Genomic DNA, 24,187 nt, shown 5'->3' with positions numbered 1-24,187 from the left:
ATCATCATCATCATCATCATCATCATCATCATCATCATAAATAAGCTGGGTGCAGTTGGTCACACCTTTAATTCTAGCACTTTCAGAGACCAAGGTGGGAGGCTAGCTTTGAGGCCAAGAGTTTGAAACCAGCCTGTGCAACACAACAAGATCCTGTCTCCAGGGAGAAAAAAATAGCCAGGCATAGTGGAGCATGCCTGTGTTCCTAGCTACTCAGGAGGCCAAGGAAGGAGAATCACTTGAGCCCAGGAGGTTGACACTGCCGTGAGTTATGACTGTGACACTGCACTCCAGCGTGGGTGACACAGGGAGATCCTCTCTCTAAATAATAAATACATAACATACAAAAAATAAATTCAAGAAAGTAAGACAAGCAGACAACAGAAGAATTTTCATCAGCCTTGGAAATCTTGGAAACCCTGTGGTACCACTCTCTCACTTAACAAACAAAAGAAACCAGCTTTCTTTGGGGAGGAAAGGTATTCCAGAAATCTCTTTTCCTACCATGTGTAAGCCTCTATGGGAAAGAATAAGTAAGTACTTAGGATCTATTAAGGCACTGAGGATTCCCTGGTCCATGTACTGTTCTCTCTACAGATCAGATCAGTATTTTACAGTCAAGGAGTCAAAAAGGCAGAAATAAATATTGAATTCTTCAAGTAATAAACGAGGTCCACAGCCTGGCTCCTTGGTTACATAAACTCCAAAGTCCAAAATGCTGATGCACACCAGGCTGGGTGCGGTGGCTCACACCTGTAATCCCAGCACTTTCGGAGACCGAGGCGGGCGGATCACCTGAAGCCAAGAGTTCGAGACCAGCCTGGCCAACATGCAGAAACCTCCTTTCTACTAAAAATACAAAAATTAGCTGGGCATGGTGGCACACCCCTGTAATCCCCACTGCTTGGGAGGCTGAGGCAAAGAATCGCTTGAATCCGGGAGGCAGAGGCTGCAGTGGGCCAAGATCGCACCACTGCACTCCAGCGTGGGCAACAGAATGATTCCATCTCAAAAAAAAAAAAAAAAAAAATGCTGATACAACCAGAGTATGTTCCATCCATGTGATAAAGAGTATACAGCTACTCAAACATCTTATTTTTGAAATTCCAAGACCCCAGTGAATGTCCAAAACGATGAATAGTATCAAACCAGGTTGCCGTCAATCGAAACATGTTTCCTGTTTGTGTCCTCCACCCACAAATTTAATGTCTTGTCCATCTCAACTAAGCACTTATCACACACTATGGCTGTAACTTTTGCAGTTTGGGGTGTCACAACAAAACTAGCACAAATTTCTTTTTCCTTCTTCACAATTTCATGGACAAAAGATTTGTTCTTACCATAGATCTTAGCAACTCCAGTATATGATCTTTTTTCTTTCCTAAGTCAAAAACTCACCTCTTCTGAGGGGCGCCTCTGCCCGGCCGCCCCTACTGGGAAGTGAGGAGCCCCTCTGCCCGGCCACCACCCCGTCTGGGAGGTGTACTCAACAGCTCATTGAGAACGGGCCATGATGACAATGGCGGTTTTGTGGAATAGAAAGGCGGGAAAGGTGGGGAAAAGATTGAGAAATCGGATGGTTGCCGTGTCTGTGTAGAAAGAAGTAGACATGGGAGACTTTTCATTTTGTTCTGCACTAAGAAAAATTCTTCTGCCTTGGGATCTTGTTGATCTGTGACCTTACCCCCAACCCTGTGCTCTCTGAAACATGTGCTGTGTCCACCCAGGGTTAAATGGATTAAGGGCGGTGCAAGATGTGCTTTGTTAAACAGATGCTTGAAGGCAGCATGCTCGTTAAGAGTCATCACCACTCCCTAATCTCAAGTAATCAGGGACACAAACACTGCGGAAGGCTGCAGGGTCCTCTGCCTAGGAAAACCAGAGACCTTTGTTCACTTGTTTATCTGCTGACCTTCCCTCCACTATTGTCCCATGACCCTGCCAAATCCCCCTCTGTGAGAAACACCCAAGAATTATCAATAAAAAAATAAATTAAAAAAATAATAATAATAAAAAGCAAGGTGAGACTACAGTACTCTCCCTCTGCCATGTGAGGACAAGATGCCAGCCAACCTATAAGCCAGGAAGAAAGCCCTCATCAGGAACCAAAGCAGCAGCACCCTGATCTGCCGCTTCTAGCCTCCAGAACCATGAGAAAATAAATTTCTGTTGTTTAAGCCAAAAAAAAAAAAAAACAAAAAAACTCACCTCTTCACTTAAAGGAAGCACTATATGGCTTCTCTCTGCATATGTGAACTGCCAGCATCGCTACTCTTGCTCTTTGGTGCCATTTTAAATAAAATAAAGGTTACTTGAACACAAGCACTGCAATACTCCAACAACTGATCTGATAACTGAGATGACTAGTATGTAACTAGCGGGTGGCGAGCACATACAGCATGAATATGTCGGACAAAGGGATGACTTGTGTCCTAGGTAGGACGGAGCAGGAGGCCGTGAGATTTTTACCATGTTATTCAGAACCGTTTGCAATTTAAAACTCATGAAATGTTTATTTATATAATCTTCCATTCAATATTTTTGGACCACGGGTGACACAGCTAAGTAAAACCACGTAAGGCAATACTGTGGATAAGAAGGGACTACTGTACCAGCAACGAACAATCAGAAAAGGAAATTAAGAAAGCAATTCCATTTACAATCGCATCTAAAAGAAAAAAATGCCTGGGAATAAATGTAAACAAGGAGGTGAGAGACTTGTATGCTTAAATTACAAAACGTTGCTCAATGCCAGGCTAACACCTGCAATCCCAGCACTGGCGACAGAGCAAGCCTCCGTCTCAAAAAAAAAAAGAACTACAGCAATCTTAACAAAAATAATACACAGCAGTCAGGACAGCACGTAAAGGAACAAGGCTTGTTCCCCCCTTCCTTTTTTTTTTTGAGATGGAGTCTTGCTCTGTCGCCAGGCTGCAGTGCAGTGGCTCGATCTCAGCTCACTGCAACCTCTGCCTCCCGGGTACAAGCTGGGACTACAGGCGCACGCCACCATGCCCAGCTAATTTTTGTATTTTTAGTAGAGATGGGGTTTCACCATGTTGGCCAAGATGGTCTCGATCTCTTGACCTTGTGATCTGACTTCCTCCACCTCCCAAAGTGCTGGGATTACAGGCGTCAGCCATTGAGCCCAGCCAGTTCCCCCTTTTCAAAATGAAGAAATAGATTCAAGGTACAATGCCAAAACATAATAGAAAAATAATTCCATTACCTTCTTTGCTTCCAACTATGTTATTAAAGTAGACAATCTTAAGATAATTAAACAACTTTACAAATTATTCTTCTATATGATCTTTTGCCTCTAACCTGCTCACTTTACAAGGGAACTGAAGCTCAAGCAGGTAAATGCCTTGTTTAAAGATACACAGCTAGGAAGGAGCACAGCCCATGTTATGTAAACAGGACAATATCTGATGCAAGCAGTACTTCTTTACATGACAGCAGATGTCACTATAAGCAAATACCTGAATTCACTTAAGCTGCCAAATATCAAGAACTGATGCAGGGCTGAAAACAGGAACAGTAAGACCCTAAGAGATGCCACATCATCTCTATCTTGCACAGTAAGATAGAGATGTAATTGTAATTGTCCAAAACTTAATATTTGTGGCCTACTTTTTCACTATGCAGTTCTAAATTTTTTTTTTAATTCAGATGGAGTCTCACTCTGTCGCCCATCTTGCACAGTCAAATGAATCTCCCTCCCCCTAAAATCCTCCAAAAACCCATCTGATCAGCTGTTCTCAACAAACCCATCTGATCAGCTCCAAATCTGTGGAGTCCCAACAAGGGTGAAGGCCGCGATTATACAGGACAATGAGGAAAAGTCTAGATACTGAACCATGAGTTCCCCAATCTTCTTCCCCTGGAACATAAGGGTAAGGAAATCTCTCAAAAGGCAGAACAAACAAAAGAGGAGAATAAGAGAAAAATTAGAGAAACTCCAGCTTTCAGGTAAACGTCATTAAAAAAAGGGTAAGAAATGGTCAAAGAAATAATACAAGAAATGCTACAGAACTGAAAGAAATGAGTTTCCCAATTGAAAGGACACTTCCAGAAAACCTTTAAGTTACCAAGAACAAGAATCTCATCGGACTCCTAACAACAGAACTTCTAGAAAATGGAGCAATGCTTTCAAAATTGCGAAAAAAAAATTATTTCAAACTCAGAATTCGATAACCAAATGATCAACTAAATTAAGTAAAGACATTTTAAAGACATACCATTAGTTTCAAGACCAGCCTGACCAACATGGTGAAATCCCATCTCTACTAAAAATAGAAAAAATTAGCCGGGCATGGTGGCACACACCTGTAATCCCACTACTCAGGAGGCTGAGGCAGGAGAATCGCTTGAACCCGGGAGGCGGAAGTTGCAGTGAGCTGAGACCATGCCACTGCACTCCAGCCTGGGCAACAGAGCAAGACTCTGTCCCAAAACAAAAACAAACAAACAAAAAAACCTCTCATCTACTTTTCCTCAAAGCAAGTGAGACTATGCTACACCAAAACAAAGAAAGTAAATGAAGAGGACATGAGATACAAGAAACAAAGGGTCTAACTCAGAAAAAAGATGAAAGGAATTCTCAAACTGATGATAAAGGGAAGTCCCAAGAGCACAGCTGTGTAGCAAAGAGGAAGAAAAACCAATCCTGGTTGGAGAAGTCAGTTAGTAAGGGTATTCCAGGTAGACAGACAATCAATCAATCAATCAATCAATCAATGTTTTAAGCTGCAATTGATGGGATTATGTGACCAGTTTGACCACATTTGAGGGTGTAAATTGCTGAGTTTAAGTAAGCAAGTAGTAACACAACATACAAGCAAACCAAAAAATAAAGCAATTATTCAGTCCAGGAAAAACAAAACCGCACAACAAGGGCAATTCAAATGCAAAAATATTTACCTTATATTTATATAAATGTTAAATATTCATTTAAACAAAAACTGCAATAACAGTACTGAAAGAATGAGGGGCAAACCAAAGTGTCTGAGGACAGTTTTGGAGGAGCATAATAACCAGTACAGAATGTCTAAAATGGGGCCCGGCGCGGTGGCTCACGCCTGTAACCCCGGCACTTTGGGAGGCTGAGGCGGGCGGATCATGAGGTCAGGAGATCGAGACTATCCTGGCTAACACGGTGAAACCCCGTCTCTACTAAAAATACTAAAAAATTAGCCGGGTGTGGTGGCGGGTGCCTGTAGTCCCAGCTACAGGCTGGGGCAGGAGAATGGTGTGAACCCGGGAGGCAGAGTTTGCAGTGAGCCGAGATCGCGCCACTGCACTCCAGCCTGGACGATAGAGCGAGTCTCCGTCTCAAAAAAAAAAAAAAGAAAAGAAAATGTCTAAAATGGGAGAAAGGAAATTAAAAATAACAAAAGTATATATGTGTGTTACTCAGAAGTATGAAGTATAGCTGTAAAGGGCAGAAAAAACAACTAACAGCTGTCAAAGGTGCCTGCCTGTAGTCCTAAGTACTCAGGAAACAGAGGTAGGTGGATCATTTACGCCCAAAAATTTGATGGCAGCCTGGGCAACACAGCAAGACCCTATTCTAAAAAACAAATAAATAAAAATAAGAGCTGTCAAGTAGACTTTGAGAAGTAGGAATCAGCTGCAGAATAAGAAATCAACTTGACAGAACATAGAAAAACTAAACAGAAGCCATCTGGAAAAAGAAAAACTAGAGAAAGAATTATATTTTTTTTTCTTTTTTTCTTTTTTGGAGACAGAGTCTCGCTCTGTCACACAGGCTGGAGTGCAGTGGTGCAATCTCTGCTCACCACAACCTCTGCCTCCAGGGTTCAAGCAATTCTCCTGTCTCAGCCTACCGAGTAGGTGGGACTACAGGCGCTGCCACCACGCCCGGCTCATTTTTGTATTTTTAATAGAGACGGATTTTCACCATATTGGTCAGGCTGGTCTCTCGGCCTCCCAAAGTGCTCAGATTACAGACGAAGAATATTTTTAAGGGCAAAAGCACATGTGAGGGAGTAGAAAAATGGCAAAACAAGAGAAGACTAACAAATGAAAGCACAATGAAAGACTAGAAAGATATGATATACAGACGCATCATCACACTCCAAAACTCCGACATTCTAGAAAGCATGGGCAGTTCACAGATGGCCAGCCTCTGCCAAACTGGGGGAGAATACTAACCTCTTCATATTCTTCACAGCCACTGCCTCTTCTCCCTCCATTCTTTACCTTCTATCCAAAGCACCCTGTTTTGTCATTTCACTCAAACCTAACTTTACAGAATAGCTTCACATGTTCCAAAGTTACTCACTAGTTAATCCATATTCCGCTGAAATCCCCAGGTTCTAATGTAAATGACTTTAAATTTGGGGGAAAAAAAAGACTCTAAGTGTAAGAGAGGTGTCATAATAACCAATCCTCAAAATTCTGCCACCACTCCACTTTATTTAATGGAGAAGTTATGTAGTTGAAAGAACATTCTAACTTCTGTCTAGACCAGTGGTTTTTAATCTTTTGGAAGCCAAGGTCCCCACTAAGAATCTCAGAAAGGCTCTAAGCTTGCTTTTTTTTTTTTTTAAGCTTGTTTAAAAAAAAAAAAATCAGGCTGAGCAGAGTGGCTCACACCTGTAATCTCAGCACTTGGGGCCAAGGCGGGAGGATCACTTGAGCCCAGGAGTTGGAGACCAGCCTGGGTAACATGATAAGACCCCGTCTCTACATTAAAGAAAAAAGCCGGGCATGGTGGCACATGCCTGTAGTCTCAGCTACCCAGGAGGCTAAGGTGGGAGGATGGATTGAGCCCAGGACGTCAACGCTGCAGTGAGCCACGATCCCGCCACAGCACTCCAGCCTGGGAGACAGAAAGAGACCTTGTCTCAAAAATAAAATAATGGCCGGTGCAGTGGCTCACGCCTATAATCCCAACACTTTGGGAAGTGGAGGCGGGGAAATCACTTGAGCCCAGGAGTTCAAGAACAGCCTGGGCAACATGGTGAAACCCAGTCTCTACCAAAAATACAAAACAAAACAAAACAGCGGGTGTGGTGGGTACACCTGTGGTCCCAACTACTCGGGAGACTGAGGTGGGAGCATCGCTTGAGCTGGGGAGGCGGAAGGTGCAGTGAGTCGAGATAGCGCCACTGCATCCAGCTGGGTGACAGAGTGAGACCCCACCTCAAAAAAAATAAAATAACACAAAAATTAAAGTCTTTAATTTCAGGAGTTACAGGAACCCTCAATTAAGGTCTGTTTTAGACTCTATCATCACATTCATATTTATACTATGCTAGCAGTTTGAAATTACAATGTACAAGTAGATATCTATCCTCCTCCTCTGGAGGAATAGACTGTAACTTACTCCACTGTTCCCAAGAGAAACTAAATCAGACCCACTGCCAAAATTCTGCTGCACTATCTATTTGACCCTGAACAAGTATCTTAAATCTCTACAGGTCTCAATATCCACAGGGCTGCTGGAAGCGCAAAATAAGATAACCTATGCTTAGTTACGATAAGAGACACAATTATGCTACTATTATAATCATGGTCATCCGTGAGTTTCCGGGTTTTTTTTGTTTTTGTTTTTGTTTTTTTGGAGTCTCCCTCTGTCGCCCAGGCTGGAGTGCAGTAGCGCGATCTCGGCTCACTGGAACCTCCGCCTCCCGGGTTCAAGCGACTCTCCTGCCTCAGCCTCCCGGGTAGCTGGGACTACAGGCATGCGCCACCACGCCCGGCTAACTTTTTTTGTATTTTTAGTAGAGACGAGGTATCAACATGTTAGCCAGGCTGGTCACGAACTCCTGACCTCAGGCAATCCGCCCTCCTCGGCCTCCCAAAGTGGTGGGATTACAGGCGTGAGCCACTGCGCCCCGCCAATATCCTTTTAACATCAACAATAAAAAGTGACTTGTAGCTAACATTTAGTGCTATGTGTCAAGCAATACCCTAAATGTTTAAAATGGATCATCCTATCAAATTCTATTAATGTTACAACTCCATCTATGGATGAAAAGTGTAACTGGCCCCAAATACCCAGCTTATAAACGACAGTGCTGTGATTATTCAAGCCAAAGCAAACTGACTCAAGATTCTGCGCACATCCACCTTTAATAGCTTCTTCCGTCACTCTTTAGATCCAATTACTAAAGTCTTATTGAATCCAAAATAGATCACATTATTTACATGTAAAGAGGAAAAATACCCTTAAAACATTTGTGGAAAAGGTTAAAAATTGCAAGCCATACTAACGATTTGTAAGAACTTTAGAATTTTTTTTTTTTAAGCAAAGGCAGCTACCAAAGTGTTCCGGGCGGGGAGGGGGGCGAGGGAGGTGAGTATGAGGAGCGGAGTGGAGCTGGACCCTTACAAAGGGACAGCGACAAACACCTCATACTCAAAACAAGGGGACTTTCAGTGTCATTTGCGCCGTCGGGCCATTGCAAATGTCCGCGCTGAGATGCCTACCTTGTCACTCGACGCAGCCGCCAAAGCTCACCCGGAGCTGCGTCAGTCCCCACTGGGTTCCTCCAGGCCAAGGAGGTACGACCTCCGCCGCAGCATATAAAGTATATGTCCAGGAGATGGGAAGAAACCCGCCGATACAGCACCCGGGTGCCCAAGCCCCCGAGAACTAGGCCGCGCGGGTACTACGGGGTGCGCGATCGGCCAGAAAGCCCGGGCCAGGGCGGCCCCAGGAGCGAGCACCGTCGGGAACAAGCGTCGGGAACAAGCCGGGAGAAAGAGGAAGCGCCGGCGCCAAAGGTCTCCCGCCCACCGCTGTCCCCCCAGGACTCTTCATGCGCTTGCAAGCGCCACGCCGCCCACAGGACTGCGCCAGCCGGCCGGCGCCTCAACAGAGCGCGCCAGGGAGCAGCGCCCGTCGGGAGCCATGACGCCTGAGCAGCGCGAGGCCGCCGCCCGGCCAGGTCGAGGCCGTCGGTCTCTTCGAGACCCACTCACCTGTCGAGGCGACGGGGTGGAGCCCTGCACCGAGGCGATGTACCGCTCCACGTCAGCCTTGCTGCGCCTCATCGCGCCGCCAACCTGGCTCCCGAGGCGCGTGAGACCAGCGCTCAGGCCCGCAGCAGTCGCCACTTCCAAGAGGAAAGCGCCTGCAAACCAGTGACGCAGCGCCGTAGCCGGCGGAGGACCACTGTGACGAACTTGCGGCGCAGCCGGCGGAGGACCACTGTGACGAACTTGCGTACTGCGTCAGCAGTGTGCGCCACGTTGGCGACGTCGGCGCTCGAGCTGCACTCGGCCAGGCTCTTGGCAGCGCCGCGTGCTCTGAGGGTGTCTTGGCAAGCCGGGATCAGATTTCGGCCGCCAGTGTCCACAGCCTAGGGCGTAGATTTCCAGCAGATAACAATTTGCGTGATGGGCTCTTAAGCGTTTTGGTCACTTGTTCTAAATTATAAGTGCGCAATGCATTGGAAGAAAAAAAGCACTCAGGCCAATTTGGTGAACGTGTAAATTGGAACAAAGTTTCTGGAGATGACTGGTTAAATACGTTGCATCGGACATGTGTGAATACTAAAGCATACATTTTTAAATTCATATCTTATTAAATGAGGGCCAGGCGTGGTGGCTCACGCCTGTAATCCCAGCACTTTGAGAGGCCACGGCGGGCGGATCATGAGGTCAGGAAATCGAGACCATCCTGGCTAGCACAGGGAAACCCCATCTCTACCAAAAATACAAAAAATTAGCCGGCCGTGGTGTCGGACGCCTGTAGTCCCAGCTACTCCGGAGGCTAAGGCAGGAGAATCGCTTGAACCCGGGAGGCGGAGGTTGCAGTGAGCCGAGATTGCGCCGTCTGGGCGACAGAGGGAGACTCCGTCTGAATTTAAAAAAAAAAAAAAAGGGAGATTTAGAACTGCATAATGAAAAAGACCACAAATATTAAGTTTTGGACAATTACAATTTTTTAAACAGTCATCTCGGCGGGGGATTGGTTCCAGAACCACCGTCTTATGCCAAAATCCACGCATTCCGCCGGGCGCTGTGGTTCACGCCTGTAATCCCAGCACTTTGGGAGGCCGAGGCGGGCGGATCACCTGAGGTCAGGAGTTCGAAACCAGCCTGGCCAACATGGCGAAAGCCCATCTCTACTAAAAATACAAAAAATTACCTGGGCGTGGAGGTGGGCCCCTATAATCCCAGCTACTCGGGAGGCTGAGGCACGAGAATCGCTTGAAACTGAGAGGCGAGGGTTACAGTGAGCTGAGATCGCGCCACTGCACTCAAGCCTGGGCGAGAGTAAGACTTCCTAAAAAAAAAAAGAAGAAGAAGAAGTCCGCGCATTCTCAAATCCCGCAGTCAGTCCTGCGGGTGGAACACTTAGAGGAAAAGTCAGACCTCTCTATATGCAGGCCCCTCCAATACTGTATTTTCTGTCGGCTTATAAGCGGGCCCAGGCAGTTCAAACCCATGTTATTCAAGGGTCAACTGTGTATATAGGAATAGCCATTCGCCTGGCACAGTGGCTTAAGCTGGTAGCCCCAGCACTTTGGGAGGTCGAGGCGGGAGGATCCCTCGAGTCCAGGAGTTCCAGGTTACAATGAACTGTGATAGCGCCACTGCATTCCATCCTGGGCACCAGAGTGAGACCCTTGTCTCAAAAAAAAAAAAAAAAAGGAAAAGGAATAGCCCCCCCAAATCTATATATATTTCACTAGCAGAATAACAGAACATACCAAAATTTAACAGTAATAATGTAAAGATTTTGAGCCGTCTGTATTTTCCAAATCTTCAAAAATGTCTATTTTGGGAATTTGGATATTAAAATCTTACTTTTAAAACAAAATTTAACAAAACATTTTTAATAGTGAGAACCTTTTAGATTTTAAAAGCTCACATTTGTGTAAACATTACAGTCTGAATTATGTGGACAAATATCAAATGCGTTGACATTTTTAACTGGAAATTTGGGCTATTTTGGTTGTGGATAATTTTTTATCCTTTTTGTTTTTCCATATTTTCTAAATTTTGATATAATGAACAAGTATTGCCTTTCTAAAAAAGGAAAAACAGCATTTTGTTTTATTTCAACAATATTGGATGTGAATAAAAGAAAAGAAAAAGATGATTCTGAGCTTACCAGTGTGTGTGACCCACATTAACAGAAATGACATGTAAAGAAAATCTAGTTTGGAGTGGAAAATCCTATTTTAGGTAGTTGATTTCTTTCACTTGAGGTACCATTTATATATCCATGTGGGGATAGCCTAGTAGGAAGATGAAATGGTAGGACAGAGATCTTGATGGAAGTCAGTAGTTGCGGCACAGTTCTGAGGCCCAGCTACTCCAAAGGCAGAGGGGGAAACATCCCTTTAGCCCAGGATTGGAGACTGCAATGAGTTATGTTCATGCCTTTGCACTCCAGCCTGTGGAAGAGAATGAGATTCCTATCTCTAAAACGAAAAGAGGGCCAGGCACGATGGCTCACGCCTGTAATCCCAGCACACTGGGAGGCCCAGATGGGCTGATTGCTTGAGGCCAGGAGTTCAAGGCCAGCCTGGCCAACGTGTTGAAACCCTATCTCTACTAAAAATGCAAAAATTAACTGGGTATGGTGGTGCATGCCTGTAATCCCAGCTTCTTTGGATGGCTGAGGCACCTGAATTGCTTGAACCTGGGAGGTGGAGGTTGCAGTGAGCTGAGATCGTGCCAGTGCACTCTAGCCTGGGCAACAGAGCAGACTCTGTCTCAAAATAATAATAATAATAATATTTAATTAATTTAAAAATAAAAACCAAAAGAGAAGATCTGATGGACTTAAAAGTCATATATCTCAGGTGATAGGTGAAACCACAAGTTTGCCTTGAAAAGTGTGTTGATAACAATAGCCATAGCTAACAAGTACTTGCTGTGTTCCAAAGCTCTTTCTGTTAGCACTTCATTTGTATTAATATCATTCTTCCACCAACTTTGTAAGGGTACTGTTATTATCCTCAGTTTTTACAGATAAGGAAAGCAAAAGACAGCCAGGCACCATGGCTCATGCCTGTAATCCAAAACTTTGGGAGGCTGAGGTGGGAGGATCACTTGAGCCCAGTAGTTCAAGACCTGCCTGGGCAACATAGCAACACCCTGTGCTTACAAAAAAAAAGAAATTAAAAACTAGCCAGGCATGGTGGTGCCTGCCAGTAGTCCCAGCTATTTGGGAGACTGAAGCAGGAGGATCTCTTGAGGCTAGGTGTTGGAGGCTGCAGTGAGCTATGTTCACTCCACTGCACTCCAGCTTAGGTGACAGAGAAAGACCCTGTCTCCAAAAAAAAAAAAAAAAAAAGGAAACCAAGAGAATGAGCACTGAAGCAACTTGCCCAAACATACTCACCTAGTAAAAATGGTATCATTAATCCATTTATGTTGAATATATCGAAAAGGAGTGCCCAAAGAGAGAACCTTCTTTTTCCTTCTTTCTTTTTTTTTTTTTTTTGAGACGGAGTTTCACTCTGTGGTCCAGGTTGGACTGCAGTGGCACAATCTCGGCTCACTGCAACCTCTGCCTCCCAGGTTCAAGCAATTCTTGTGCCTCAGCCTCCTGAGTAGCTGGGATTACAGGTACATGCCATCACACCCGGGTTATTGTTGTATTTTTAGTAGAGACGGGGTTTCACCGTGTTGGACAGGCTGGTCTTGAACTCCTGGCCTCCAGTGATCCATCTGCCTCGGCCTCCCAAAGTGCTCGGATACAGGTGCCCGGCATCCACCGCGCCCAGCATCCAAAGAGAGAATCTTCTTGAGGAACTCAAAAGACTTTTCTCTTTTGGATAAGCAGTTCATATTTCTGCATTTATTAGGGATTTTCACATTTTACTTCATTTTACACTACATTTTTTTTTTGTTCAGTGGTATAACATTTTCACCAAGGCACTGAAAATTCCATTTGCATTAGTGTCCAATGTCATATATTCCCTACCATGTTGCAAATACAGTTCATTTGTCCAGCTTTATTGAGGTATAATTCACAAATAAAAATTGTATACATTTACTAGGTACAACATGATGTTTTGCTGTCCAAGCATACCTCATTTTATCGCACTACATTTTATTGTACTTCACAGATACTATGTTTTTTACAAATTGAAAGTTTATGCCCACCCTGTGTCAAACAAATCTTTCTGCATCATTTTTCTTTTTTGAGACAGAGTCTCACACTGCCACCCAGGCTGGAGTACAGTGGCAAGATCTCAGCTCACTGCAACCTCCTGTGGCAGGCCAGGTCTCACTAATGCAGACTTTCATAACAACTGTTTCAGTAATTACTGAATGAAGTTAAATACTAAAAGCCAGTGCCCTTATACAAAGGCTGGGATGTAACAAAAGGCCATCAAAACTTTTGCCTAGGCCTGTCCTGGGCCTTAAAGCATGACACAATAATGAAGGAATTTTTTTTTTTTTTTGAGATGGAGTCTTCCTCTGTCACCCAGGCTAGAGTGTAGCAGCAGGATCTTGGCTCGCTGCAACCTCTGCCTCCCAGGTTCAAGTGATTCTCCTGCCTCAGCCTCCTGAGTAGCTGGGATTACAGGCATGCATGACCACGCCCGGCTAATTTTTGTATTTTTAGTAGAGATGGGCTTTCACCATGTTGGCCAGGCTGGTCTCGATCTCTTGACCTCGTGATCCACCCACCTTAGCTTCCCAAAGTGTTTGGATTACAGGCATGAGCCACCGCACCCAGCCCATAACGAAGGAGTTCTCAACAGGACCCATTTAGGATTAAACCAGTTTTATTGCGGGTCTGAAGAAACTCCCCAGGTCTCCACAGACAAGTTTATTGGGGGTCTGAAAGAACTCCCCAAACCTCTGTGACTTAGCGGGAGGCAAGATAAGGGTAATCACCCCGGCACCGAGGGGGAGCTTGCAGTGAGCTGAGATTGCGCCATTGAACCCCAGCCTGGGGGACAGAGTGAGACTCCGTCTCAAAAAAAAAAAAATCACCCCAACATCTAGACCAATTAGATTAAGTAAATTTACTGAGGCTCCAGAGGGAGGTCTTCAGGACTCAGACCTTAGTTATATATTAAAAGAAGTTAATCACTTACGTCTTTAGATGAATGCACACTTACACGTAGACATATAACTTAGAAGGTAGATAAGCTCTGGAAAACTTTGTAATTTTGAGTTGGTCTGGCGATAATTTCCAGGCCTTCTTGCTGTAACTGGTTGCAGAAATAAAAACTCTCTTCCTCCCGAGTTCATCTGCATCTTGTTATTGGGCCATGAGAAATAGCAGCCCGACCCTCAGTTTGGTTGGGGAACACTCCGTCTCCCAGGTTCAAATGATTCTCCTGCCTTAGCCTCCCTAGTAGCTGGGATTACAGGTGTGTGCCACCACGCCCAGCTAAATTTTTTTTTATTTTTAGTAGAAATGGGGTTTCACCATGTTGGCCAGGCTGGTCTCGAACTCCTGACCTTAAATGATCTGCCCGCCTCAGCCTCCCAAAGTGCTGGGATAACAGGCATGAGCCACCACGCCAGCCTCAGCACCAGTTTTCCAACAGCATGTACTCACTTCATGTCTCTGTATCACATTTTGGTAATTCTCACAATATTTCAAATTTTTTCATTATTATAATATCTGTTATATTGATCTGTGATCAGTGATCTTTGATGTTACTTATTGTAATTGTTTTGGGGTACCGCAAGCCATGCTCATACAAGACAGCAAACTTAATTGATGAATGTGTCTGTTCTATCTGACTGCTTCACTGACCCACCATTCCCAGTCTCTCTCCCTCTTCTCGGAGTTCCCTGTTCACCTAGAGACAACAATACTGAAATTAGGCACCTTAATAATCCTACAAGGGCTTCTAAGTGTTCACATGAAAGGAAGAGTTGCATGTCTCTCACTTTAAATCAAAGCTAGAAATGATTAAGCTTAGTGAGGAAGGCATATCAAAAACCAAGATAAGCCAAAAGCTAGGCCATTTGTCCAGAAAAATGATTCCTTTCAAATTCTGCTGCTCATTGACAATGCACCTAGTCACTCAAGAGCTCTGATGGAGATGTACAAGTAGATTAATGTTTTCCTGCCAGCTAACACAATGTCCATTCTGCAGCCCATGGATCATGGAGCAATCTTGACTTTTTTTTTTTTTTCTTTTTTTTTTTTTTTTGAGACGGAGTCTCGCTCTGTCGCCCAGGCCGGACTGCGGACTGCAGTGGCGCAATCTCTGCTCACTGCAAGCTCCGCTTCCCGGGTTCACGCCATTCTCCTGCCTCAGCCTCCCCAGTAGCTGGGACTACAGGCGCCCGCCACCGCGCCCGGCTAATTTTTTGTATTTTTAGTAGAGACGGGGTTTCACCTTGTTAGCCAGGATGGTCTCGATCTCCTGACCTCATGATCCACCCGCCTCGGCCTCCCAAAGTGCTGGGATTACAGGCGTGAGCCACCGCGCCCGGCCGCAATCTTGACTTTTAAGTTTTTTTTTTTTTTTTTTTTTTGAGATGGAGTTTCGCTCTTGTCGACCAGCTGGAGTGCAGTGGCGCAATTTTGGCTCACTGCAACCTCCACCTCCCAGGTTCAAGCGATTCTCCTGCCTCAGCCTCCCGAGTAGCTGGGATTACAGGCGCTCGCCACCACGCCCAGCTAAGTTTTGTATTTTTTTTAGTGGAGATGGGGTTTCACCGTGTTGGGCAGGCTGGTCTCAAACTCCTGACCTCCGGTTTAAGTTTTAAGAAATGCATTGCTCTTTCTCTTAAGCGCGCCGCTGAAGATCCTGGTATCGCCATGGGCCGCCGCCCCGTCCGTTGTTACCGGTATTGTAAGAACAAGCCGTACCCAAAGCCTCAGTTCTGCCGAGGTGTCCCTGATACCATCATTCTCATCTTTGACCTGGGGCAGAAGAAGGCAAAAGTGGATGAGTTTCCACTCTGTGGCCACATGGTGACAGGTGAATATGGGCGGCTCTCCTCTGAAGCCCTGGAGGCTGCTTGAATTTGTGCCAATAAGTACATGGTAAAAAGTTGTGGCAAAGACGGCTTTCATATCCGAGTGCAGCTCCACCCCTTCCATGTCATCTTCATCAACAAGATGTTGTCCTGTGCTGGGGCTGACAGGCTCCGCGTATGCGAAGTGCCTTTGGAAAGCCCCCGGGCACTGTTTCCAGGGTTCACATTCGCCAAGTTATCATGTCCATCCGCACCAAGCTGCAGAACAAGGAGCAGGCGATTGAAGCCCTGCATAGGGCCAAGTTCCAGTTCCCTGGCGGACAGAAGATCCACATCTCAAAGAAGTGGGGGCATCATCAAGTTCAATGCGGATGAATTTGAAGACATGGTGGCTGAGAAGCAGCTCATCCCAGATGGCTGTGGGGTCAAGTACATCCCTAGTCGTGGTCCTCTGGGCAAGTGGCAGGCCCTGCACTCATGAGGGCTTCCACTGTGGTGCCCCCTCTTAATACTCACCAATAAATCCTCCTTCCTGTCCACCTTAAAATTTTTTTTTTAAATGCATTTAGTAATGTTACAGCTGCCATAGATAGGGATTCCTCTGATGGATCTGATCAAAGTAAATCTGGAAAAGATTCACCATTCTAGGCGGCATTTAAAACATTCATGAATAGGCCAGGCCCGGTGGCTCATGCCTGTAATCCCAGCATTTTGGGAGGCTGAGGCAGGCGGATCACCTGAGGTCAGGAGTTCAAGACCAGTCTGACCAACATGGTGAAACCCTGTCTCTACTGAAAATACAAAAATTAGTCGGGCATGGTGGCGTTCACCTGTAATCTCAGCTACTCAGGAGGGTGAGGCAGGAAAATCGCATGAACCCGGGAGGAAGAGGTTGCAGTGAGCTTAGATCACGCCACTGCACTGCAGCTTGGGTGACAGCAGGCACGCACCACCATGCCCAGCTAATTTTTGTATTTTTAGTAGAGACGGAGTTTCACCATGGTGGCCAGGCTGGTCTCAAACTCCTGACCTCAGGTGATCCACCCACCTCAGCCTCCCAAAGTGCTGGGATTACAGGCATGAGCTACTGCACCTGCCCTATGTTTTGGTTATTAATCCCTTGTCAGATAGATAGTTTGCAGATAATTTCTCCCCTTCTGTGGGCTGTCCCTTCACTTTGTTGATTTTTTTCCCTTGGGGTGCAGGAGCTTTTTAACTTAATGTGATCCCATTTGTCCATTTTTGCTTTGCTTGCCTGTGCTTTTGAGGTATTACTCAGGAAATCTTTGCCCAGACGAATGTCCTGAAGAGTTCTCCCAATATTTTCTTGTAGTAATTTCATAGTTTGAGGTCTTAATTTTAAGTGTTTAATCCATTTTGATTTGATTTTTGTATATGGTTAGAGAGAAGTCTAGTTTCTTTCTTTTGCGTATGGATATTCAGCTTTCCCAGCACCATTTATTGAAGAGACCGTCCTTTCCCCAATGTATATTCTTGACACCATTGTTATAACGGGTCCACTCTACTGTGTGGATTTGTTTCTGGGTTTTCTGTTCTGTTCTAGTGGTCTATGCATCTGTTTTTATGCCAGTACCATGCTGTTCAATTACTATAGCTCTGTAGTATAATTTGAAGTCAGGTAATGTGATTCCTCCAGTTTTGTTCTTTTTGCTCATGATAGCTTTGGCTATTCTGGGTCTTTTGTGGCTTCATATAAATTTTAGGATTATTTTTTCTATTTCTTTGAAGAATGTCATTGGTATTTAATAGGGATTGCATTGAATCTGTAGATTGCTTTGGGTAGCATGGACATTTAAAAAATATTGATTCTTCCAATCCATGAACATGGAATATTCCTCTATTTATTGGTGTCCTCTTCAATTTCTTTCATCAGTATTTTATTGTTTTCATTATAGAGGTCTTTCACCTTTTTGGTTAAGTTAATTCCTAGGTATTTTATTTTATTTGCAGCTATTGTAAATAGGATTATTTTCTTGATTTTTCAGATTTTTTGCTGTTGGCATATAGAAATGCTACTGATTTTTATATGTTTGTTTTTTATCCTCCAATTTTACTGAATTTGTTTTTCAGTTCTAATAGTTTTTTTGGGGGAGCAGGTCATTAGATTTTTAAAATATAAGATCATATCATCTGCGAACAAGAATAATTTGACTTCTTTCCGATTTGAATGCCCTTTGTTTCTTTCTCTTCTCTGATTTCTTTCTCTTCTCTAATTTCTCTAGCTAGGACTTCCAGTACTTGTTGAATAACAGCGGTGAAAGTGGGTATCCTTCTCTTGTTCCAGGTCTTAGAGGAAAGGCTTTCAGTTTTTCTCCATTGAGTATGATACTAGCTGTGGGTCTGTTATATATGGTTTTTATTATGTTGAAGTATGTTCTGTCTATACGCAGTTTTTTGAGAGTTTTTTTTTTAATCACAAAATACATTGATTTTCCCATCTCAGCCTCCTGAGTAGCTGGGACTACAGGGGCATGCCACCACACTTGATTAATTTTTTATTTTTAGTGGAGGTGGAGTCTTGCTATATTGGCCAGACTGGTTTCAAACTGTTGGCCTCAACTGATTCTCTCACCTTGGCCCCCCAGCGTGCTGGGATTACAGGCATAAGATACTCACTGTGCCTGGCCAAGATGTTGAATATTATCAAATGTTTTTTCAGCATCTATTGAAGTAGTCATATCATTTCTGTCCTTTATTTTGTTGATATGATGTATTACATTGATTGCTTTGCATACACTGAGCCATTCTTGTATCCCTGGGATAAATCCCACTTGGTCATGATAAATGATCTTTTTTAACATATTGGTGAATTTGCTTGCTAGTATGTTGTTGAGGATTTTTGCATCAACATTTATCAAGAGATTGGCCTGTAGCTTCCCTTCCATTCCCTTCCCTTTCCTCCCCTCCCCTCCCCTCCCCTCTCCTCTCCTCCCCTCCCTCCTTGCTTTATATATCTGGGTGCTCTAGTATTGGATGCATACATATTTGTAATTGTTATAGTCTCTTGATGAATGGACCCTTTTTCATTATATAATGATCTTCTTTGTATTTTTTATAGTTTTTGTCTTGAAATCTATTTGGTATGATGTAGTATAGTTACTTTGGCTCTCTTTTGGCTTCCATTTGCATAAAATATCCTTTCCCAATCCCTTTATTTTCAATCTATGTGTATCTTTATAGGTGAAATGTGTTTCTTGTAGGCAACGGGTTGTTGGGTCTTTTTTTTTTTTAATCTATTCTGCCACTATGTCTTTTGATTGGAGAGTTTAGTCCATTTATATTCAATATTATTATTGAAAAGTGAACACTTAACTACTTCAATTTTGATACTTGTTTCCTGGTGGTTTTGTAGTCCTTCCTACCTACCTACCTTCTTTCCTTCCTCCCTCCCCTCCCCTCCCCTCCCTGCCTCCCTCCCTCCATCCCTCCCTCCCTCCCTTCCTCCTTCCTTCCTTCGTTTGTTCGTTCCTTCCTTCCTTCCTTCCTTCCTTCTTGTGAAGGTGATTTTCTCTGGTGGTATGTTTTAATTTCTTGCTTTTTATTTTTTCTGTATCTGTTTTAGGTTTTTTTATTTGAAGTTACCACAAGGCTTGCAAATATCATCTTATAATTTATTATTTTAAACTGATGAAAACATAACACTGTAAAAACAAATCAGCAAAGAGAAAACTAATAAAAATTCTACACTTTACCTTCATCTCCCCACTTTTTAACATTTTGTTTTTTCTTTTTATATCTTATTATATTGTCTATATCTTGAAAAACCGTTGTTATTTTTTGATAGGTTCATCTTTTAGTCTTTTTTTTTTTTTTTTGAGATGGAGTCTTGCCCTGCCGCCCAGGCTGGAGTGCAATGGCGTGATCTTGGCTCACTGCAACCTCCGCCTCCTGGGTTCAAGTGATTATCCTGCCTCAGCCTCCTGAGTAACTGGGATTACAGGTGCGTGCCTCCACGCCCAGCTAATTTTTGTATTTTTAGTAGAGACAGGGTTTCACCATGTTGGCCAGGCTGGTCTCGAACTCCTGACCTCGTGATCCACCCGCCTCGGCCTCCCACAGTGCTGGGATTACGGGTGTGAGCCAGTGCCCTGCCCTCATCTTTTAGTCTTTCTACTCGAGGTATGAATAGTTTACACACCACAATTACAGCGTAATCATATTCTATGTTTATGTGTGTACTTACTATTACCAATGAGGTGTTTTTTTTAACCTTCAGATGATTTCTTATTGCTCATTAATGTCCTTTTATTTCAGATTGAAGAACTCCCTTTAGCATTTCTTGTAGGACAGGTCTATTGTTGATGAAGTTCCTCAGCTTCTGTTTGTTTGAGACAGTCTTTATTTCTCCTTCATGTTTGAAGGATTTTTTCACTGGATATACTATTCTAGGATAAAAGCGGGTTTGTTGTGGTAGTCGTTGCTGTTGTTGCTTTTCAGCTCTTTAAATATGTCATGTCACTCTCTCCTGGCCTGCACGGTTTCCACTGAGAAGTCTGCTGCCAGACGTATTGGAGCTCCTTTGTATGTTATTTGTTTCTTTTTTCTTGCCACTTTTAGTATTTCTTCTTTATCCTTGACCTTTAGGAGTTTAATTATTAAATGTATTGAGGCAGTCTTATTTGGGTTAAATCTACTTGGTGTTCTATAACCTTCTTGTACTTGAATATTGATATATTTCTCTAAGTGAAGAAAGTTCTCTGTTATTGGCTGGGCATGGTAGCTCACACCTGTAATCCCAGCACTTTAGGAGGCTGAGGCAGATAGATCACCTGAGGTCGAGAGTTTGAGACCAGCCTGACCAACATGGAGAAACCCCATCTCTACCTAAAATATAAAATTAGCCCAGCATGGTGGTGCATGCCTGTAATCCCAGCTACTTGGGAGGCTGAGGCAGGAGAATCACTTGAACCCAGGAGGCAGAGGTTGCGGTGAGCAGAGATTGTGCTATTGCACTCCAGCCTAGGCAACAAGAGTGAAACTCCATCTCAAAAAAAAAAAAAAAAAAGAAAATTCTCTGTTATTACCCCTTTGAGTACACTTTCTACCATGATCTCTCTTTTTATCTCCTCTTTAAGGCCTGTAACTTTTAGGTTTGCCCTTTTGAGACTATTTTCTAAATCTTGTAGGCATGCTTCACCCTTTTTTTTCTTTTTTCTTTTGTCTCTTCTGATTGTATATTTTCAAATAGCTTGTCTTCAAACTCACTAATTCTTTCTTCTACTTGATCAATTCTGTTGAGAAACTCTGATGCATTCTTCAGGATGTCAATTAAATTTTTCAGCTCCAGAATTTCTGTTTGATTCTCTTTAATAATTTCAGTCTCTTTGTTAAATTCATCTGATAGGATTCTGAATTCCTTTTCTGTGTTATCTAGAATTTCACTGAGCCTCCCAAGAACAGCCATTTTGAATTCTGTGTCTGAAAGATCACATATCTCTGTCAGTCTGGGATTGGCCACTGGTGCCTTATTTAGTTAGTTTGGTAAGGTCACATTTTCCTGGATGATCTTAATGTTTGTGGATGATCGTCAGTGTTTGAGCATTGAAAGTTTAGATATTCATTTTTTAATTATTTTTTAATTATTTTTTTTTGAGACAGGGTCTCACTCTGTCACCCAGGCTGGTGTGCAGTGATGAGATTGCAGCTCAATGCACCCTTGACTTGCTGGGCTCTAGCAATCCTCCCACCTGAACCTCCCAAGTAGCTAGGACCACAGGCATGTGCCACCACACCCAGCTAATTTTTGCATTTTTGGTAGAGATGGGGTTTCACTTGTTTCCCAGGCTGGTCTTGAACTCCTGAGCTCAAGCAATCCACCCACCTTGGCCTCACAAAATCCTGGGATTACAGGCATGAGCCACCATGCCCGGCCTGGTTAGATAATTTATTATAGTTTTTGCAGTCTGGCTTATTTGTTCCTGTCCTTCTTGGGAAGGCTTTCCAAGTATTCAAAGGGAATTGAGTGTTGTGATCTAAGATTTTGATGACTGCAGCTGTATCTGCATTAGGGTGCACCCCAAGCCCAATAATGCTGTGACTCCTGCAGACTTGAAGAGGTACTACCCCAGTAGTCTTGGGTAAGATCTGGGAGAATTCCCTAGATTACCTGGCAGAGACTCTTGTTCTCTTTCCTTGCCTTCCCCCAAATAGAGTCTCTCTCTCTGTCCATGCTGAGCTGACTAGACCTTGGGGAGGGGTGACATATGAACCCCTGTGGCCACCACCACTGGGACTGCACTGGGTCAGACCCAAAGCTAGCACAACACTGGGTCTCACCCAAGGCCTATGGCAACCGCTGCCTGGTTACCGTTGTTGTTCCCTCACAGCGCACAGGCTCTACTGTCAGCAGGTCATGAATCCAGCCAGGCTTACAGTCTTCCTCTCAGGGAAGTTCATTCCCCCTATTTCCAAGTATGTCCAGAGATATCATCCCATCTGGGAGTCAGGGCCTGGGGTTGGAAAACTTAGGAATCTATCTGGTGCTCTAGTCTACTGCTGCTGACCTGGCACCCATGCCACAAGACAAAGTCCTTCCACTCCTCTCTTTCCTTTCCTCAAGCAGAAGGAACCTTTCCCTGTGTCCACCACAACCCCAGGCCCACAGTGAGTACTACTTGGCTACTGCCAGTGTTCACTCAAGCCCCAAGAGCTCTTCAGCCAGCTTCTGGTGATTGCTGCCAGGCTGGGTCTCTTCTTTGAGGACAAAGGGCTCCCTCTCGCCTAGAGCAAGTCCAAAAATGCCAGACAGGAGCCAAGGCCTAGAATCAGGGACCCCAGGAGCCCACCTGGTGCTCTGTCTCAGTGTGGCCAAGCTGGTACCCAAGCTGCAAGACAAAGTCCCCTTTACTCTTCCCTCTCCTTTCATCAAGCAGAAGGAGACTCTCCCCATGGCCACCACAGCTGGGAATGCACTGGGTCACACCTGAGGCCAGCATGGCACTGCGTCTCACCCAAGGCCCACAGTGGGTACAGCCTGGCAACCACTGATGTTTACTCAAGGCCCAAGTGCTCTTTAGTCAGCAGTTGATGAATTCTGCCAGGACTGGGTTCTTCCCTTCAAGGCAGTGGGTTCCCTTCCAGCCCAGGGTGTGTCCAGAAATGTCATCTGGGAGCTAGGGCCTAAATGGGGGCCTCAGAACTCTGCCTGGTGTCCTATTTTACTGTGGCTGAGCTGGTATCCAAGTTGCAAGATAGAGTCCTCTTTACTCTCCCCACAGAAGAAAAAAGTCTTGGCCAGCCATGGTGGCCCATACTTGTAATCCCAGCACTTTGGGCCACCAAGGCTGGAGGATTGCTTTAGCCCGGGAGTTTGAGAGCAGCCTGGGCAGCATAGTGAGACCCCTGTCTCTACAGAGAAAAATAAATTAGCCAGGCATTGTGGGACATGTCTGTAGTCCCAGATACTTGGGAGGCTGAGGTGAGAGGATCACTTGAGCCTGGGAGGTCGAGGCTGCACGGAGCCATGACTGTATCACTGCATTCCAGTTTGGGTGACAGACCAAGACCCTGTCTCAAAAAAAAAAAGAAAGAAAAGAAAAGAGTCTCTCCCACAGCCATGCTACCCCAGCTGTACTACCTGGGGTGCTGGGCTCTCAGCCACCCCATCTGTTGTCTCATTAGGTTATGTGCACCCAGAATTCACTGGCTCTGAGCCCAAAAAAGCATAGCACCAAAATTGATAAGAAATTGTAGTCCTTGTGGCCTGGACTGCCTTTTAAGTTTAGTGCCCTAGGACACCAGGGCACTTTGGCCCATGGTGGCAAGGCTTGCTGGAGTTCAGGTTCTGACAACTAGGATGGATAATTCCCTTCTGGCTATGGCTGGTCCAAATGCTTCCTCCAAAGGTACCTGATGAATTCTGCCCTGTGTTGCTTTCCGATGTTACAGAGAGGCACTGAGTTCCAAGGCAAAGTCTCACAATCACTGCACTCTCCCTCCCCAAATCACACAGATTCTCTCTTGTCATGAGGCTGCTGCTACTACTGGGGATATGGGGGACAGGTGGCATCAACAATTCAAGACTGTCTTTCCTTCCCTCTTCAGTGCCTCTTTCCTTGATATAATGTTAAAAACCAGGTACTGTGATCACTCATCTGATCTTTGTGTCTTATAAAGGTGCCTTTTTATGTAGATAGTTGTTCCATTTGGTGTTCCTGCAGGGCAGAGGGTTGGGATGATGCTTGCTGGAGGGTTCTATTTAGACATCTGCTCTGCCTTCTCCTCTAAAAGCTCACTTTTGAAAAAAGTGGTACAGACCAAAGCCCACCTGCCC

The 24,187-nt window shown here is 44.5% G+C and overlaps 1 protein-coding gene and 1 pseudogene across 12 annotated transcripts in view, besides 5 other annotated features; one reads left to right on the top strand and one right to left on the bottom strand.

Annotated features, from left to right (window-relative positions):
- The window catches only part of RANBP2 (RAN binding protein 2), a 1,122,820-nt gene extending 1,113,668 nt beyond the window's left edge, over positions 1–9,152 (bottom strand). For all 12 annotated transcript variants that reach the window (XM_047445367.1, XM_005264002.4, NM_001415871.1 and 9 more), the window contains exon 1: positions 8,956–9,152. In XM_047445367.1, the coding sequence (XP_047301323.1) occupies positions 8,956–9,027 (72 nt within the window). In that variant the 5' untranslated portion in view covers positions 9,028–9,152. The remainder of the gene's footprint in view (positions 1–8,955) is intronic.
- Positions 1,506–2,046: an enhancer, noted in NCBI's record as "NANOG hESC enhancer chr2:109343044-109343584 (GRCh37/hg19 assembly coordinates)". NCBI's record gives its function as "activates a minimal SCP1, AML or CMV promoter by ChIP-STARR-seq in primed H9 embryonic stem cells {active_cell/tissue: H9 hESC(primed)}" and the evidence as "EXISTENCE:reporter gene assay evidence [ECO:0000049][PMID:30033119]".
- Positions 8,349–9,278: an enhancer, noted in NCBI's record as "H3K27ac hESC enhancer chr2:109335812-109336741 (GRCh37/hg19 assembly coordinates)". NCBI's record gives its function as "activates a minimal SCP1, AML or CMV promoter by ChIP-STARR-seq in naive H9 embryonic stem cells {active_cell/tissue: H9 hESC(naive)}" and the evidence as "EXISTENCE:reporter gene assay evidence [ECO:0000049][PMID:30033119]".
- Positions 8,926–8,985: an enhancer, noted in NCBI's record as "active region_16352". NCBI's record gives its function as "activates an Ori minimal core promoter by ATAC-STARR-seq in GM12878 lymphoblastoid cells {active_cell/tissue: GM12878}" and the evidence as "EXISTENCE:reporter gene assay evidence [ECO:0000049][PMID:35858748]".
- Positions 9,066–9,255: an enhancer, noted in NCBI's record as "active region_16351". NCBI's record gives its function as "activates an Ori minimal core promoter by ATAC-STARR-seq in GM12878 lymphoblastoid cells {active_cell/tissue: GM12878}" and the evidence as "EXISTENCE:reporter gene assay evidence [ECO:0000049][PMID:35858748]".
- Positions 9,279–10,209: an enhancer, noted in NCBI's record as "H3K27ac hESC enhancer chr2:109334881-109335811 (GRCh37/hg19 assembly coordinates)". NCBI's record gives its function as "activates a minimal SCP1, AML or CMV promoter by ChIP-STARR-seq in naive H9 embryonic stem cells {active_cell/tissue: H9 hESC(naive)}" and the evidence as "EXISTENCE:reporter gene assay evidence [ECO:0000049][PMID:30033119]".
- RPL10P5 (ribosomal protein L10 pseudogene 5) lies at positions 15,693–16,460 on the top strand (annotated as a pseudogene).

This window comes from Homo sapiens, chromosome 2 (assembly GCF_000001405.40).
Source record: "Homo sapiens chromosome 2, GRCh38.p14 Primary Assembly".
In the NCBI taxonomy this organism is placed as follows: Eukaryota; Metazoa; Chordata; class Mammalia; order Primates; family Hominidae; genus Homo; species Homo sapiens.
Note: the sequence above shows the minus strand (reverse complement) of the source record. Positions and strands in the feature narration are given on the sequence as shown.